The 18,691-nt window shown below is 35.5% G+C and overlaps 1 protein-coding gene across 24 annotated transcripts in view; it reads right to left on the bottom strand.

Annotated features, from left to right (window-relative positions):
* CREB1 (cAMP responsive element binding protein 1) overlaps positions 1-18,691 on the bottom strand; it is a 76,027-nt gene that overhangs the window by 28,921 nt on the left and 28,415 nt on the right. For 7 of the 24 annotated variants that reach the window (NR_135473.2, XM_011510646.4, NM_134442.5 and 4 more), the window contains exons 3-7: positions 16,696-16,842; positions 15,908-15,949; positions 9,505-9,605; positions 6,747-6,889; positions 1,614-1,796 (exon numbers count right to left, since the gene is read on the bottom strand). Coding sequence is in view for 21 of the 24 variants with exons in the window: in XM_011510646.4 (XP_011508948.1) it covers positions 1,614-1,796; positions 6,747-6,889; positions 9,505-9,605; positions 15,908-15,949; positions 16,696-16,842 (616 nt within the window). In the remaining 3 variants the exon portion in view is untranslated. Of the gene's footprint in view, positions 1-142; positions 438-1,613; positions 1,797-3,774; positions 5,335-6,746; positions 6,890-9,504; positions 9,623-15,907; positions 15,950-16,695; positions 16,843-17,812; positions 17,947-18,691 lie in introns of those variants that run through there. The other 17 variants (NR_163946.1, NR_163947.1, XM_047443437.1 and 14 more) reach the window with 10 other exon arrangements.

Raw genomic sequence — 18,691 nt, 5'->3', positions numbered from 1 at the left:
CAAAATGAAAAAGAAGATAAAGCATTATGGTCAACTATTATAAATTTTGAATTAAAACAAAACTAAAAGTATGAAAAAGTGTATCACTTGATGCCAATTATATTATTTGAAAAACATATTGTTTTAATGTAAATGATAATGGCTAAATAAACTGAAGTTTTATTTTTCTAACTGATTCACCATTTGTAAAAACAAACACAATCACTATTTGTCAAACTGCTTCTAAAAACAGCGTAATAATATGCTCTCCTAATAAGGAACCTAATGTTACTTAAAAAAATTTGAAGGTCTTTATAAAATTATTCATATTAATTATTAATATCAATTAAAATGTATGGTTTGAGTGGAAAAGATTTATATACTAAACATGTTACCATCTTCAAACTGACGTTCAGAATTCAAATTCACTGACATCCTGCTTTACAATTTTTGAGTACCTGCATGTAAAGTGAAAAGGTGTTTTACTCTCATCAATAAGCAAAATAGTATCTTTTTCAAATACTCGTTTAATAACAGAATATATTCTGTAAACATTAGGGCTCTTTAAATAAGTTATGACTCTCTCCAGTTGGTGTTTCAGGATTATTCAATTATCCATGGTGAAAGGATACAACTGTCATTACCTAACACAGGCAAAATGCATTATTATTTATAAAAATATTTTCAGAAACAAATTTATTATTATTTCCTCAATCAGCAAATTTCTAACCTGGCATTAACTATATTCTTGAAATATTCAAACAAATCCAAAGAAAAATGGTTAACTGCTATCCATAAAGATTCCTGAAATAAACAGAAAAAAAAAACTAAAAAAAAAAAAAAAAAAGCCAAAAAAAGCAACTTCTATAATTTGTCGAGAATTTAACAACTACTTTTTCTCTAAAGAGCAGCAGATTTGCATATTGGTATAAGATCCTGTGGAATATAATGTTTTCATTTGAAACAAAAACTGAGTCAAGTGCAGAGGCATCCCAACACTTTGGGAGCCTGAGAAAGGAGGATTGCTTGAGGCCCGGAGTTCAAGACTAGCCTGGGCAACACAGTGAGACCATGTCTCTAGAAAAAAATAATAATAATAATAATAAAAACTGATGATCTCAGAAGATTTAAATTTCTTTTGGGGGGGGGGGGGGAAGCAGAGAAACAGAATCCTGAACTTCTGAAGATTGTTTCCAGAGATTCAGTGCAACTCTTATTTTACAGATGAAAAAACAAAAACAACAACAACAAAAAACAAAACACTTTCCTGAGGCTCAGAGCAGCTGACTTTTACTCAAGGCCTCATAGCAGATCCATGCAGTTAGATACAGAATCCATCTTTTCTAACTCCTGATTTCCTGGTCTTTCCTTCTAACCTATCCTGTTTCTTCTACCCCAAAAGATGTTAAAGGTAGATGCAATATTTTAAAAACTGAAAATAGTTGTTTTTATGCCATGACATTTTGGTCCAATTGGAATAATGGAAGAGTTCATGAAAAATACTATCAATATTGAAGAAATGTTAACTACATTTGAATGGTGGTTTGCAATATGATACTTACTTTTTCTGTGAGTTTATAAAATTTTAGTATTTTGAAGAATTTACCACACCTGTGAATTCTGAATTCCCTTACCTTGAACAACAACTTGGTTGCTGGGCACTAAGATCTGCTGTCCATCAGTGGTCTGTGCATACTGTAGAATGGTAGTACCCGGCTGAGTGGCTGCTGCATTGGTCATGGTTAATGTTTGCAGGCCCTGTACCCCATCGGTACCATTGTTAGCCAGCTGTATTGCTCCTCCCTGGGTAATGGCAACTAAAAGCCAATGGATTTTATTGTTACAAGTTTAATACCATATAAGACTTTTAAAACATTACATCCAATGTAGAATAATTTGTAAAATAATCTAGGAGAAGTTACAGCAAATAACATCACCAAGAAGGGTCTAATATATTCAAGTAACTTGCTCCTCAGGAAACCCATATTCAACTTCTACAATAGAAATGCACTCTATGAACTGCATTCTAATTTATAATAATAATGCCTGTTAACAATTTTTTTAAGTGGAAAAATGTTAAATTCCTTCTGAAGTTATTTGGTTCTGAAGAGGTTCCACTCTGTGATCCTTTCTTTTATTTTAGCATTAACTGCATAATGTATTAATACTTGTCCCACTAGTAAATAAATTTCTGGAGAGTAGGAATTTTCTTATATACTTTCATACACTTAGCACAGTGGCAGCCATGAAATAGGCACCCAATAAATGGTTGTTTTAACATATAACTAATAAAGCAGTTCATCAGTGCATTGTATTCCCTAACTCTTGTAGAAATTCTTTAATGGTATCTAATCCACTCAATGAAACAACTGAAATATCCTATGGAACTTAATTATCAACAGTCTCTCATGGAATTTTAAAATCAGAGCTCAAGATCATCATTTAGAAAAAAAACTTTAACTGTCATTTCTAAATTATTTAATACATATCCAAGCATTCTCATATAGAACCCTTTGTTGTTTATGCCCTAATTAGCCACACCTGTCATTCATTTGTTAAACAATAAATCAGTCAACTTTTGCTCATACTAGTAGATATTTCACTTTATGAAAAACTAAATCACCTTTATGCTACAGTACATAGAAAAATTTAATTTAAAAATTAGATGATTTATTTGGAAGAAGCATTTTTAGATAGGTGGCAATATCCTCTCTAGACAATTCTCCCTGTAGGGGTCAAGCTTTTCAGAAAGAGAAGGACCAAAAATCACAATATCACATATAAAACTACAAAACTGATTTTAACTGAGTAAGAAAAAAGTAAACAATGCAGGAAAGTCAACATGTCTGATTAAGCATGTTACTGTCCATTAGAAGGGAATTAGTTTGGGATCAGTTATCCACCAGCTATGGGAAATAACATCCTGAGACATCTGTACATGGAAAATTGATTACTGCCTCATCAAGAAGTAAGAAGAGTTAATGGCTACAGTGTGATTAGTTTAGCAAAATGACACTTGTGAAAATTAAAATGCTGGCATATACACTGGATCTAGTTTAGCTAATCCCAGAAGTTTTACTTATCTTAGGCAGGGAGAAAAATGAGTAAGAACTATTCTAAGATTAATTTTGCATGATTACTTGAAAGAATCAGAAGGTTAACAGAAACAAATCACAATTTCTCATTTAGAGTTAATGAGTGAATCCTACTGTATTTAACATACCACTTTCTTCTTGGCTACAGAGCAGTGAATTCAAGGTGGGAAGAAGAAAGAAATAGTAAACCATATATGACAAGACTGGGTTGTAGTTTGAGTTCCATCACTGAACAGTTTTTTGTTTTAATTTTTTTCTTTTGAGACAGGGTCTTGTTCTGTCTTCCAGGCTGGAGTGCAGTGGCAAGATCACAGCTCACTGTAGCCTCCAACTGGTGGGCTCAAGTGATCCTCCTGCCTCAGCCTCCCAAGTAGCTAGCACAGGACATCAGGCCCTACTAATTTTCTAAAGACATTTTTTTGTAGAGACAGGGTTTTGCTATGTTGCCCAGGCTGATCTTGAACTCCTGGCCTCAAGCAGTCCTCCCACTTTGGCCTCCCCAAGTGTTGGGATCACAGACGTGAGCCACTGTGCCCAGCCATCACTAAACTGTTATTTGATTCTGTTCTCTCTTCTCTAAAAACAAAAGCATCTGGGTTCTAGCCACTAAGTACAATTGTTGTAAATATCAAATGAGGTCATGTATATGAAAATACTTTGGAAACTGAAGTCTAATCCTACTGAACACAGTTTTTCTCTATAATGTTTATGTATACACTTTATTATTCCAAAAAGATTTGAGATAGCTTTCAATAAAACACAATTCATTAAAACAAAAATAAAAAGACAGAAGTCAAGTAACGGATGTATCCTTAGTTATATAAAACAATTGTAGAAGAAAATCTAGACTAAGAAAAGAATACAATTAAACAGAAAGTTAGCTAAGAATCTGAGTTGCCAGAATAAAGAGGGAAACATCATGAGTCATAGTTTTATTTACTGAAACAAAAAAATTCAAGTTCAAAATGACAGATACACATTTTCTATCTAAGAGCAGAATCACTAATAAGATTTTACTATCTGGGACACTGAACTAATAAGTAACAGATAAATCTAGTAACAGCATGAATTTAATAAAATAACCAATTTAAGGAAGGAGTGGAAATTCATGCCTCCACCTGGAAGGGTACTTGCGGAGGATATGCTTTAATTTGATAATTCCACTCTTTTTTTTTTTTTTGAGATGGAGTCTCGCTGTTGCCCAGGCTGGAATGCAGTGGCGCTATCTCGGCTCACTGCAGGCTCCGCCCTCTGGGTTCACACCATTCTCCTGCCTCAGCCTCCCGAGTAGCTGGGACTACAGGTGCCCGCCACCTCGCTCGGCTAATTTTTTGTATTTTTAGTAGAGACGGGTTTTCACCGTGTTAGCCAGGATGGTCGATAATTCCACTCTTAGGATATTTATGTAGCACTGTTTGAAACAATAGAAATGTCCTAAATGTTCATCAGCAGGAGAATGTTTAAATAAGTGCTGTATTTACACAGTGAAACACAATGCAGCTATTAAACAAAATATATAACTATGTGTGTTTATATATCTATGGTGAATTCTGACAACCATATGTTCATTTTATAAGTTAAGAAATATAAATGTTGCTGTATATGTATTTATTATATTGCTCTTAATGAAAATCAAGAATATAATGTTAAATCAGTTCCATCAAAGCCAAAGCCATGTGTACATATACAGAGAGGACACAGGATAAAAATAATGAACAAAGCTTTAAAAATTTCAAAGTATTAATCTCTCTTTTTTTTTTTTTTTTTTGAGACGGAATCTTGCTCTGCCACCCAGGCTGGAGTGCAGTGGTGTGATCTCAGCTCACTGCCAGCTCCGCCTCCTGGGTTCAAGCAATTCTCCTGTCTCAGCCTCCCGAGTAGCTGGGATTACAGGCGTCCGCCACTATGCCCGGCTAATTTTTGTATTTTTAGTGGAGGCAGGGTTTCACCATGTTGGGCAGGCTGGTCTTGAACTCCTGACCTCATGATCCACCACCTTGGCCTCCCAGCGTGCTGGGATTACAGGCGAGAGCCACGGCGCCTGGCTCAATCTCTTAAAACTAGCAATTTTCAGCTGCTGGAGGAGACGAGTGTACCAAATTAAACATCTATGGGGGTGCTGGTACTTTTCTAACCTTCATTTCCCCTTTTTAGATTCTGATAGGCCTCTTTCCTAAAGAGCATGCTTCCTAGTTCAAGTGAGAATCTCTGTAACAGTGAATCTGTTACTGACAGGAGTATGTTGTATCCCTCAGGTATGCTGAAGTAGAAGAAAAATAAACATCATGTATCAATGTCTTCGAACACATATCTTGAATAACTAAAAGCATCTGGTATGAGGCTTCAACTGATAATACACATACACGTACAGAATTGTAGGTAAAGAGTTGTACTTTATATCTGCCACAAAGATCTTAAGAAGAAAAAAGATGACTAAGCTAATTGAGCACAGTGGATAAAAACCTTAGTCAAAAATGCCTTCCTTCTACTTAGTCTCAAAAGTTTCAGCCTTGGCAGAGTTAAAAAGTTTGCTACTTGAGAACTTGTCTTTAATACAGATGGGAATGCAAATTAGAGTTACGCAAAACAAAGTTGAACTGGAACTAAAAAATAACATGGGGGTCAAACTTTCATGCATATTTCTTAATTTTTAAATTATTTTTATAAATAGGGATGGGGTCTTAAACTCCTGGATGGCTCAAGTGATCCTTCCACTTTGGCTTCCCAAAGTGCTGGGAATACAGGCATGAGCCACTGTGCCTGGCCTCAAACTTTTATGCATATTTCTGATACAGATTCCCTCAGGGATTAGGAAACTATCTCAGTAAAGAAGTTTCAATGTGTACATTTAATTTGAAACTAAGGTGGGTGGGGAAAAGGGTATAAATGGGCAGCACCAGGTTTAATAAACAAATACAAATGAAAAAAATCACTGAATGAATAAAGCACTTTGAGAGGCAAAAAAAAAAAAGGGAAAAAGAGAAAAAAGTACCATTCACACAAATGCTTTTGATCAAACAAAATAAAATTCAAAAGTGTCTTATAACAGATTTTGGTGAAAGATAAGAAGACAGACCTAAGTGCCAGACAGAGACATCATAGAAATGAAAACTTTTAAATAATTTTGTAAGAGCAATTTTTGCTTTATGTGGGCCAAAAAGTATATTACTATCTTTCATATGAAAAGGAATAATTGAATGTGCTGACTCAACCAAGCCATGCTTATCCCCACTTGAAACATTATTAAATACGAAGACATTAAAATGCTACTTTCAGAAGGCAAGACAAACTATTAAAATGAATACCGAGATATATTCAAGGAATGATTTTTTTTAATCTAAAAAACTTATGTTCTCTCAACACATGAGGCCTCAAACCTAGGGTCTCAATTAGTGGTTCAAAAACTTCAGACTTTCCATGCATCTGCACAAAAACAAAAGGACATCTAAAAGGTTTATACACTTGACTAATCCTAACTAAAACTCTCTGAAGAAAAGAAAATACTACCATTACAGACCTTTGCATAGTGAAGAGTAAAGGAAATATAATAATGGCAGCAAAACTGAGAAGACTTGGCACTTGTATTGGTTTCTCTGAAGAGAATGCAACTATTAGCTTTTTCTCCTCACTTTTTTCTCCTCACAATAGAAACAGAAATTGTCTATTACTCACTATACTGTCCACTGCTAGTTTGGTAAATTGGAGTTGGCACCGTTACAGTGGTGATGGCAGGTGCTGAAGTCTCCTCTTCAGACTTCTCTTCTTCAATCCTTGGCACTCCTGGTGCATCAGAAGATAAGTCATTCAAAATTTTCCTACAAAATTAGAAAACTAGAATAATTAAAAATATAAGTACAATTTACTGGCTAAATACAAATATAGTTAAAGATGAGAAAACTCACAGAAAGCTGCTAGTGCTTAGGACAGAAGGTTTTTTTTTTTTTTTTTTTTTTGAGATGGAGTCTTGCTCTGTCGCCAGGCTGGAGTGCAGTGGCGCGATCTTGGTTCACTGCAACCTCCGCCTCCCGGGTTCAAGCAATTCTGCAACAGCCTCCAGAGTAGGTGGGACTACGGGCGCCTGCCACCACGCCTGGCTAATTTTTTTGGTATTTTTAGTAGATGGGGTTTCACCATGTTGGCCAGGATGGTCTCGAACTCCTGACCTCATGTGATCCACCCGCCTTGGCCTCCCGAAGTGCTGGGATTACAGGTGTGAGCCACTGCACCCAGCCAGCAGAAGTTTAAAATATATAAATTACATGAATAAACTCTTCATGGGTCAGGGATTGATCTAGATGTCAAAAGGAACCCAAATATGTACAAAAACAAAAAAAAAGATGTATTATCTTTAACCTCAATGTAAGGAAGGGTGCAATTAAGGGTAATAATAAGACTGACTACATTAAAAAAAATCTTTTGCATCTCAAAGAACACATACACAAAGTCGGAAAGTAAAAAGTCAACAATCAACTAAAGGGAAAAAAGATCAAAACCTGATTTTTAAATTCTCACTTCTCAGATTGGGAAACAAAAAAGTGTTAACAAAATCTGTTAGCAAAGCTACAAAAAAAACAAAAACAAAAACAAAAAACACCACACTCTCATACATTGCTGCTGGGAGTATAAAACTGGCACAATCCCGATATAAGGAATTGTTGATATTTAAGGAAATATGGGTGTTCGTGCCTCAATCCCATTTCCAGGAATTCACCCCAATTCCAACAATATTAAAATAAACTCGCTTAAGATTATTCCCATTGGCACTGTTTGTAACTGCAAAATACTGGAGCCATATATCCAAGGTCTAAAATAGAAAAACAAATAAAAAGGAAAAAAAATACTGGAAACAATCTATATGCCCATATAAAGGCAAGTGGTTGAATCAACTATGGTACATCCAAATAATGGATACAGCATATCTTTTGTGTAAGGAAAAAAGGGAAATATGAAAACAGACATGTATCTGCTCATTTGTTCAAGGAAAAAAATCAGGATGGATAAACGAGAGAGTAATGGTTTTAGCTATTTACTGGGGATGGGTAGGAAAGAAATGAAAACGACAGAAGGAATGGGGAGGCACTACTGAGTATACTTTTTTTGTGCAATTCTGACTTTTGGTACAGTGTTAAATGTTTCACTTACTAGAAAAAAAAATAAAGATCAACAAGGATGGGTGGAGAAACTCTAAAATGGAACCCAAAAACAAAGGAACCATACCATATTTCAAATGAATAACATAATCACACTGAAAGGTGGGAAAAAACCCCTAAAAACCCTAACCCAAGTAATTTTTGATATCTTAAATTTGTAACAAACTAGTTATAAACTCTGTCCCTTTATGCTATTGTCAAAAATGACATCTTCATATATCATGTGCTTAGTCACATAAATTTATAGTTATTGTTCTATGCCTTTGTCTTTCCAATCACATAGGAAAAAAAGGAGTTACAAACCAAAACTATAATAATCCTGGCTTTTATATTTACCTGTGTAATTACTTTACTAGTAGTATTTGGTTGGATTTGCTTCAGGATCAAATGTGTTATATACTAACAGGAGATATACTTCAAAGTTAAAATCTAACACTAGCTATACTTAAAATAAATTATGAATATAAATACATATAACATAAACTGGTAATATAAAATTTCTTAGACCTCAAAATCTATTTATTGCTAGTCACTTAGGATTCTTAATTTAATTGTAAGGACAGAGAAAAGGGTTAGTTTAATAGCCAAGCGGGGGGAAAAAACCATCCCTTTGAAAAATAGGAATATATAAAAAATAATTTACACTAACAAGGAAGATAATTATGAGTCTGAAGTTTCTTCAATGCTGAAGTAAACTTATCAAGATTTATGGAACTGCCCTTCCTGAAGATATTTAATGTGGAGCTAATTTTTACATTAAAAAATGGTTTTGGTTCACCTTGGAGGCAAGGCATGGACTAGGCAACATCTATAACTGAACACAAAAATTACAGTAAGCTACTGCTAAAATTAGGGGATGTTAGTAAAGCATCTCCCTGAGACAATTATTAAATTAATAGCTATCTGTTAAGTACCATGGCATAAAAAATGGTTTGCAATGTGTTACTAAGTAGATAAATAACAGAGCCTCAGAGTTGGCTTATAACTAAAAAATGCTATAACCTTATCAACTGTATTCCAAACTTTTAACAGAAAGACAGCCAGCACAGTCTACAGAAACAGAAACAGAAAAAAAAAAAATTAGGACTGGTGAGAGTAACAAGTGCTCTTCTTATTCTGTAGGATAAGCTTCCACTTTATTTGAGACAAATAACTCAAGATGAAGAAAAGTAATCTATAAGGAACTGACGTGAACAACTAACTGGTCTTCTGACATCTCTTTATCTGCAACTACCTAAGACTTCCTCCACATCTTTGATTCTAACTATTAAATTCCATACCTGTAGGAAGGCCTCCTTGAAAGAATTTCCCTTCGCTTTTGGGAATCAGTTACACTATCCACTGACTCCTGTGAATCTTCACTTTCTGCAATAGTTGAAATCTGAAATTAAAGAAAAACTTCATATTGATAATCAAATTTAGTTCCTGTAAAATTTTTATTAAACAAATATAAAAAGTCATATATAAACTTTATACATGCTTCAGTAGAAAAAAATCAGTTCTTATGGGAGACAACCACACCAATCACTTTCCCCTTCCCTTTACTTACCCTATAAACTACGATGAAGTTAGAGAACCTAAAATAGCTGCAGTTTAATTTTTTTTTCAGGACTCCATGTAATCAATCCTGAATGCATCAGTATTACTTATCAGTTTTTTCTTACATCTGTTGGAACAAAACTACCAACTAAAATAAGGTTTCTGATATAAAGGATAAAATGGATGGCTAAATATTTGGTCCTAAGTCTATATAGTGACTATACAAATATTATTATTTAACTGTATAAACACTTATGAATATATTTACAGTTGTACAGTAAGACTGGCGATCCATCATGACATCCCTGACAGTTGTTCCTAGCAAGTTAGGAAAAACTCCTAACATGTTTCAAAGTTAGCATTCTATAATCACTTTTAAGTAAAAATTCAAGGTAAAGAACTATGCTTTTCTGATAAGAATACCTAGACTGAAAAGTAATGAAGATAAGTGAATAAAAAATTTACATGGGATATTAATGATAGAAACTAGAATTTACAGATGCCTATGTGCCAGGTGTTATGCTAATGCATTTACATATACTACATTACTTAATACTCACAGTAATGTAGGCGCCAGATGGGTACTATACTATTATATCCATTCCATAGATGGAAGAACTAAGGCACAAAGAAGTAACTCACCCGAGTCACAAAGCTAGGAAGTAGTGGAGCCACTGTCATTAACCTCCATTTTAGACATCCTTACCAGCATCAAAATCCTGGTGGTTCCAGTCTCAAACCAGACTGTTATAGTCTCAAACCAGGTTTGTCAGAAGCAGCAACCAGTGGCATTTTCACACCTTTTCTAGACTAGAAGAGTTCACTTACCTAAGTATGCTTGATTGTCAAATTTACACTGCCCAAGTTTCTCTAATCAGCAGAAACGTTATGCTCTTTCCTGAACTAGGGGCACATTATGCGGTCAGAGTAAGAATTATACTTAACCAAGACAAAAGGGTCTATGTAGGTCAGCTCCACGTCAAAACGTATGGCAATGGCAGTAAGAAAACATATTCAGAAGTACTTGAGAAATTCCAAGCGTACTCTATGTGTGGTCTGAGCCTAACAGTTCTCCCAAGTGGGCATTCATTTTACAGGGCTTTGTGATATGCATGCTCATTTAAAATGAAACCAGGTAAAGTTAGTAACTTGTAGTAAAATATATTTATAATGAAGTAATTTGCCCCATCCAAACACTTTAAAGTCTAAGTACAATCTGAAAGACCTAAAAATCAATAGGCAACATATAATGAATTCACAAATGACAGATAAAAAGATGAGTAATGCTGAATTTAGTCTGTGATTCTCAGCAGAATAATAATGCTGTAATTACTGCCAAAGAAGCACACAGAAAAGTTTCACGTTAATCAGTAGCTGCTGTAACTAGCCCACACACAAGAGTCTCTGCACAAACTTTCTCACATACAGAAGATCAGGAGCTATGAAAAGGCCTGAGGAAAGGATCAGAAATTCAAGGAATAACAAGACTGAACTCAAAGTTGATAGTACTGTGACAAGTGTTGTTTCCCTTCATTAATACGCCACTCAGAATTCACTTAGCTCCTCTGTGGCTCTTTCTGTGTCCACTGCTTGACTCTCATATGCCCCATCCTTACATGCTTCTCTTAAGGACATATAGTGATTAGGGAACACCCCCCTTCCAAGTTGGAACTCACTAAAACAACAACATTAAAACATGCCATATAAACTACCCACAGGATAGTTTTGAAATGAAACAAATTAATGTTGTTTTTTAATCTGTGTCCTTTTTTTTTCTAACTCTGGATCTATGGCCCTTAATGAAAAAAAAAAAAAAGGTTGCCTTTCTCTGACCTGTAAGATTTTGTCAATTCACACAGAAGGAATTAACTTATCACTATTTAGTGCTTGCAACTTTGTAAATGTAAAGAGAATTCAGACCACTGAAATAAACACAACACTTCCTCTTTGGGAATACCATCTGAAGAGAAGTAAGCCATGAAGCTAATTCCTATGGAGTCCCTGATCTATCACTTAATCAATAATAAAAATACTGCCACAGAATATACCAAGCCAAGAATGAAGTTTAATGTAAACTATGGACTCTGGGTAATTATGATGTGTTAATGTAGGGTCATCAAATTATAACATAAATGTACCGTTCTGGGGGAGGATGTTAAGAACAGGGGAAGCTATCCATGGAGTTGGGGAGGGAGTATACAGGTAATCTCTGTAGCTTCCTCTCAATTTTGCTGTGAACCTAAAACTGATGTTAAAAAAAAAAAAACATACTGGACCCACATAACTGAGATCAATAAAAATCATGTCAAAAATCTATTTTTATAAATAACAGAATAAAAACATCATATGAAAAATTATATCCCAATTATAAACATCACGTATCATCATCACATTCCAATGATGGAACCCCTTCCTTTTATTCTCATCTCCTATCACTTATTAACTTCTTTCTGAATTCCTTAAATAGGTCTTTAATTTTGGCCACTTGTAAGTCAAGAAATTTTCAAAAAGCTAAACTACCACTTGTAGATATAAAGTTTTAGGTCTGTATTTCTCAACTTTGGTTTATTTAAAACCCATACTACCTGTTTATATTGGAAAGGTGGAGGACCCCGTTTCGATTATTTGAAATTTTAAAATAAACTATAAAGTAACTAGAACCAATCAAAACAATGGTAATATTCGATGTTTCCTAAACCTATATATGGTCCTTTGGAAACTTAAGTACTATCCCTCGGTAGAGTTGAGACTCATGGTTTGGATATATATTTTTTTTTTAAGATTTTTTTTTTTTAAGAGACAGGATCTCACTCACTCACCGAGGCTGGAGTGCAGTGGTGCGATCACAGCCCACTGCAGCCTCAAACTCATGGGCTCAAGGGATCCTCCAGACTCAACCTCCTGAGTTAGCTGGGATTGCAGGCATGCACTACCACTCCCAGCTAATTTTTAATTTTTTTGTAGAGACAGGGTCTTGCTATGTTGCCCAGGCTGGTCTTGAACTCCTGGCTTTAAGCAATCCTCCTGCCTGGGCTGGGATTATAGGCCACTGCACCTGGCCTTAGATACAGTGTTTTACTCATTGGATCAAGAAGCTTACTGAAAGTCTAGATCAATGATCTTCCAACTCTTTTGATCTGCATGTATCTCTTATAAATAAGAAAAATTTTACACAGGCATACATTTTTCTTATTTCTAAATTTTAAGTATTCGTATTATAAAACAAGAGTTCTTAAAGAGATATGATAAGCATAAATATTAAAAATTTATATATTTCTTAAAGATAAATAATATTATTTTTCAGGATAGTGAGAATGACATAATATGCTTCATTAAAAATCATTTAACACTTTTATTTTTTGAGACAGAGTCTCACTCTGTCACTCAGGCTGGAGTACAGCAGCATGATTTTGGTTCACCGCAACCTCCGTCTCCAGGGTTCAAGTGATTCTCGTGCCTTAGCCTCCCGAGTAGCTGGGACTATAGGTGCCTACCACCACGCCTGGCTAATTTTTGCATTTTTAGTAGAGATGGCGTTTTGCCATGTTGGCCAGGCTGATCTCGAACTCCTGAGCTCAAGTGATCCGCCCGCCTCAGCCTCCCAAAGTGCTGGGATTACAGGAATGAGCCACGGAGTCTGACCTCATTTAACACTTTATAACAGTCATTTAGAAGTCAGATTCTAAGCTTGGGTTTTCTGAAATGTGATTTAACAACTGCTGGCATTGAAAAAGAAAACTTCATGTAGATAACAAAACTAGGTGCATTTGAGGTATGCTTACTAAATAATCATTTTCATTTGCATCTACCAATTATGCAAGCTTTCAATGAGATTTATCTAGTTTATTATTTTCATCTCCCTGGCTCTAAGTCAGTTTATTCCATGTTAATAGGAAGGGGTTACAATTTTGTATTTTTAAGAAATAAGTTCAATACCTGCTGAAACTCCGGAAGACTCCTGAACAATTTACAAAGTTCTATTCCTAGGGTTTTAAAATACGTAGATTTGACATTTTAAAGGAGACAAACTTACGTTGTAAATTGCATCTCCAATCACTTCCCTCCTCACTTACTCTATTCCAGCCATACCTTTCTGTTATTCCTTGATATCCCAAGTATACCCTCACTTCCAAACCTTTCGATCTGCATGCCTTAGCCTCCTTCATTGCCTTCTGGTCTGTGCTGTGTTCCCTGAGCACATTACATAAAGTAGAACACCCTTCCCTCCACATCATTCTCCATCCCTTTCCCCTGGCTTTATTCATCTCTCTCGTTAATTCTCCTAACCTGACACAATTTATTTTTTCATAGTCTGTCTCTTTTCATTAAAATGTGATCTTCTTGAGAACAGAGAAGTATTATTTGCTCATTGCTGTCTTTTATAGCAAGCAGAACAGTGACATAGCATGTCACCAATAAACATTTGTTGTAGGAATGAATGATAATTTAAAGTAATAATCTATTCTCACAACAAGAGAACTGTACCTTGTATATTTTGGAAACTTTATTCTGGAATATTAATGAGGTCTCCCATCTAGAAGATCCTCTCCTTGTTTGATCATCTCTTTTGATAAAAACTATTTCCTAGTTGTTAACACTAATCACCATTAACTGGCTAAGATAACTATTAAAATAGATATTCTATAGTTTAGGCCTTTTAAAGAAAAAAATATTATATTTGTATCTCTATTTGTAGAATCCAGGGTTCAATAAGTCCAACTTTTCTTTTATAAATACACACTCTTAAATTAGAAGTACAGCTCACCTTAATGGACCTTAATGGACAAATGTGTTCCTTAAAGATGAATACAAGCAAATAAAAAAAAGAGAATATTTCTATACTTAATGGCCATAAAATCTTCATGTCCAAATTATGTTGCCCCAGAATAAAGATTAAAATCAAGAATACAATCAACAATAACACATATTACAATAAAAAACAGTAATCTTAGCAAATTTTGTGGCTGTAACTTAAGTAATTTTTGTGTTCTTTATAGAAAGATCTTCTATAAGTGAAAAAGAGAAAGGTAGATGTGCCCAAGGCCATTTGACTTATTAATGTCCAAACTGGGTCTGGAATCTAGGTCTCCTCACTAGCAAATCAAGTTTTCTCACTATTACTAAGAGGAGCATATGGTTAGGGAATTAGTAATGGCACAGTATGGACAATGGTAAGGTAGCACTCAATGGAATAAAAACTAAGGCAAAGGACTATTGCTCAGTCATTGTGATTTCATAGAAATATCAAGTTCTTAGATCTTTACATGCACAACACTATCTTTTACTTGTTAACAAATGCCATTCCCAGTGTCTTATGGAAATTGATCCAACTGATGATTTCACACAAAAACATTACTTCTCCTCCCCCACGCTCCCACTTAAGTGTCAAAGTGAACCAAAAGCACAAAGACAGAATGAAGTAGAGGTGGTTAATAGAAGTTCGATGACTCAATAGTATAAAATGGCTGACAAATTCTACTGAGGACATTAATAGAATGCTTCCAGGACAAAGACAGCACTTCTCCCCTCTACAAATATTAATCAGTTCTGGTTACTATATGTAAAGAAAACATAACAGCGCTCACCCAGAAGAAAACAACCAGGATGGTGAAGAGGAAACAGAGTTATACCATCTAATAAATGGCTAAAGAAAAATAGTTTGTTTAGTCTGGAAATTTTCTTAAAAATAGGAAGGGTGCGGGGGATGGGGAAGAGGAAGCAGTCCAATAGAACAGGAATTAGACTTGCTAATCTAGTTTCCGAGAATAGAACCTGTGTTTACCCGGGATCACTAGGTAAAAGTTTTAGGAAGATATATTTTGGATCATCACAGAGAAGAATATTTTAGCAATCACTCCTAATTGTAAACAGGTTACCTCAGGAGATTGAGCTTCCTTTCTCTGAAAGTGTTCAAGTAAATGCTGGACTACCATTAGGAAGAGGGGAGAAATGTTAAACAGAATTAAGCAACAGACTAAGGGCTGGGGAGGTAACAAGTATGGCCTAGACCCAGAAGATCTCTGAGGTTTTTGTTCAAGTGTTGAAATTCCATGTTTATAGAGGAAAAGGACAAAGACATAAAGAATAATTTCTCACCTTCCTTTCTAATAATAGTTCTCTCCAAATCTAGGACCTAGGACTCACCTGTGTTCCGGAGAAAAGTCTTTTTAAGTCCTTACAGGAAGACTGTGAAGCAAAAAATATGAAATGGGAGGCTGGGGTTATGGCCTACTTGAATGAACGTTCAAGTCTTTTTTTTCAATAAGCTCAATTGCAATGATCTATACTGCTCTCGGTTCCCTACAGTTAAACAGAGTAGTCACCTTCAAAGGTCTACAGTGCCTTTATTACCTGTGGATCAAACCCAAAGGAAAGATCTCTCCAAAGAATTAGATAACATGCATAGTATAATTCCTGACCCTTAAGATGTAACCTCTGAATATATTATTTCAAAGTTACACACTGTAACTGAAAACCCTAAGCACAGCTGATTTTACAAATGCTTTATGTAATCTCTAAGGTCAAATAATATCTTAGGTAAGGTTATTAATTTTTGATCAAGGGTATATTTTTCTCCAATTGCAGATTTAGAAAATTAGTTACTATTTTTGCATCTCAATTTTCCTCGACTGAGGTACTTCAGTCCTACAGTTTCTCCCAAACACTTCCACTTTATCTCATGTACTTCATTATTTTCCCCAATCAATTCTTTTTCCTCTGCAGCTTAAGAAATTAGTCATTTTCTTTTATGTTTGTTCTTCTGTATATATGTTCCTATACATAAGGTGACTATACAGATGCAGCATATTCCTATACTGTGAATAAAATAAACTGAACTAGATGTGTCCTTATTTTCATAACTAGTGAAAGGAGAGAGATATGGCTATAAACAAAAGTTATTAAAATAGATGCAGAACTTTTTATACACATACCTGAACTGTTTGGACTTGTGGAGACTGAATAACTGATGGCTGGGCCGCCTGAATGACTCCATGGACTTGAACTGTCTGCCCATTGGGCAGCTGTACTAGAGTTACGGTGGGAGCAGATGATGTTGCATGAGCTGCTGGCATAGATACCTATGGTGTTGAACACAGAAAAGAATTATCATCCCAGACACTCTTTGGCAGTACTCATGTTCAATATGAAATAACTTTTTAGAAGCAAAAACGTGACCTTTTTGCTAGATATGTATTTCACTGATATGAAAGTAATGACTAAATTTAATATTCTTTAAGAAAAAACACTATAAAAAACACCAAAAACTATACCCCTATCCTTTTCAGCTCTTCCCAAGTGACAAAAAATTAAAAACTATTCCCATGTTATACCAAATATGTAATACAGACTCTCTGAACATGAGATATCACTTTATTTGTATGGCACTTTACATTTTCCCACCTGCTTTCATTTCCAATTTCTGATTTTGCTATTTGAAGAAACTGAAGACTGGGTGATAAGGATCTCCATTTTTAAAAACACAAATAACTGCTCAATGAGATTAAGTGTTCACCCAAGGTCAACAGATATACTATCCTTGAAGAAACATAAAATTCTAAAGAATATCATGTTAAATAAGTCACGTTCTAAAATCTAACTGCTCTCAAGCATAAGCAAACCTGACCTACTAAGTCTAGAACTAAGGCAGTTTTAATGAGTCAATACCCAGGTTAAAAGGGTCCTTAAATCATACATGTCTATCAGATGTTATTTATTGCTCCTATGCTTGAACACATTCAAGGATAGGAATTTTATTTGCTAAATCAGGAAACAGTTATTGGGGACCTATGTTCCAGGAATAATGTTAGAACTGAAACTACAAAAGTGAGAAAGATAGGGGTCTCTGACCTCAAATAAATTATTGGGGGTATGTATGCGAAGGAATGGGGAAAAGAGACACAATACAATTCAGTTTAGTAATGAGGTTTGCTAAAAGAAAAATGGACACACTGAGAATTACTCTACCCAACCTAAGAGAAGGGGAGGCTATCAGGGAAGAATGTGAATTTAAAACAAAAGAAAAAAGTTAGACTTGTTATTATTACTTACAGGGAAGAGTCACAGAATTTCAAGCACAGAGTGGAGTAGTGGCAAAAGCAAAGAGAAACAGCACACATGGCAGAGTGGGATAACCAGCAGCTCAGCACCAATGGTGCACATAAGTGTGTTACTGTATGATGTATGAAGTAGGGAGAGAGAAAACAACAGAGGCAGGTGGGGCTAGATGTGCTAGTCACAAAAAGCCTGTATTATGTCACCTCAGAGAAACTGCATTTTATCCTGAGGGTATTGCAGAAGCCACTGAAGGGCTTTTGAACTCCTGAATACCATGGTGATGTTTGCTTTTAGATAGATCACTTTAGGCCGGGCAATGTGGCTCACGCCTGTAATCCCAGCACTTTGGGAGGCCGAGGCGGGTGGATCATCTGAGGTCTAGAGTTCGAGACCAGCCTGGCCAACATGGTGAAACCCCATCTCTACTAAAAATACAAAAAATTAGCCAGGTATGGTGGCAGGTGCCTGTAATCCCAGCTACTTGGGAGGCTGAAGCAGAACTGCTTAAACCCAGGGGGCAGAGGTTGCAGTGAGCCGAGATCGCGCCATTGCACTCCAGCCTGGGCAATAAGAACAAAACTCCATCTCAAAAAAAAAAAAAAAAAATCACTTTAGTGGCAGTGTGAAAGATATATATTTCAGGGGGAAAACTGGTGGTGGGGAGACCAACGAAGAAAGCCCATGAAGTAGTTAAGGAAAGATGATGAAGGCCAAAAAGAGGGCAGTTAGTAGTAGTAGAGATGGGAACGAGGGAAGTGATTTTATGAAAATTTGGAAGCAGTCCAGAAAGGGCTTTATGAATAGTTAAAAGAGGTGAGAGAGGAACTGCAGATGACCCAATGTTTCATGTCTGAAAGAGAATTGGCAGACTGT

The sequence above is a fragment of the Homo sapiens genome, chromosome 2 (assembly GCF_000001405.40).
Source record: "Homo sapiens chromosome 2, GRCh38.p14 Primary Assembly".
NCBI classification, from domain to species: Eukaryota; Metazoa; Chordata; class Mammalia; order Primates; family Hominidae; genus Homo; species Homo sapiens.
The sequence above is the reverse complement of the archived record's forward strand: the minus strand, read 5'-3'. Positions and strand labels throughout refer to the sequence as shown.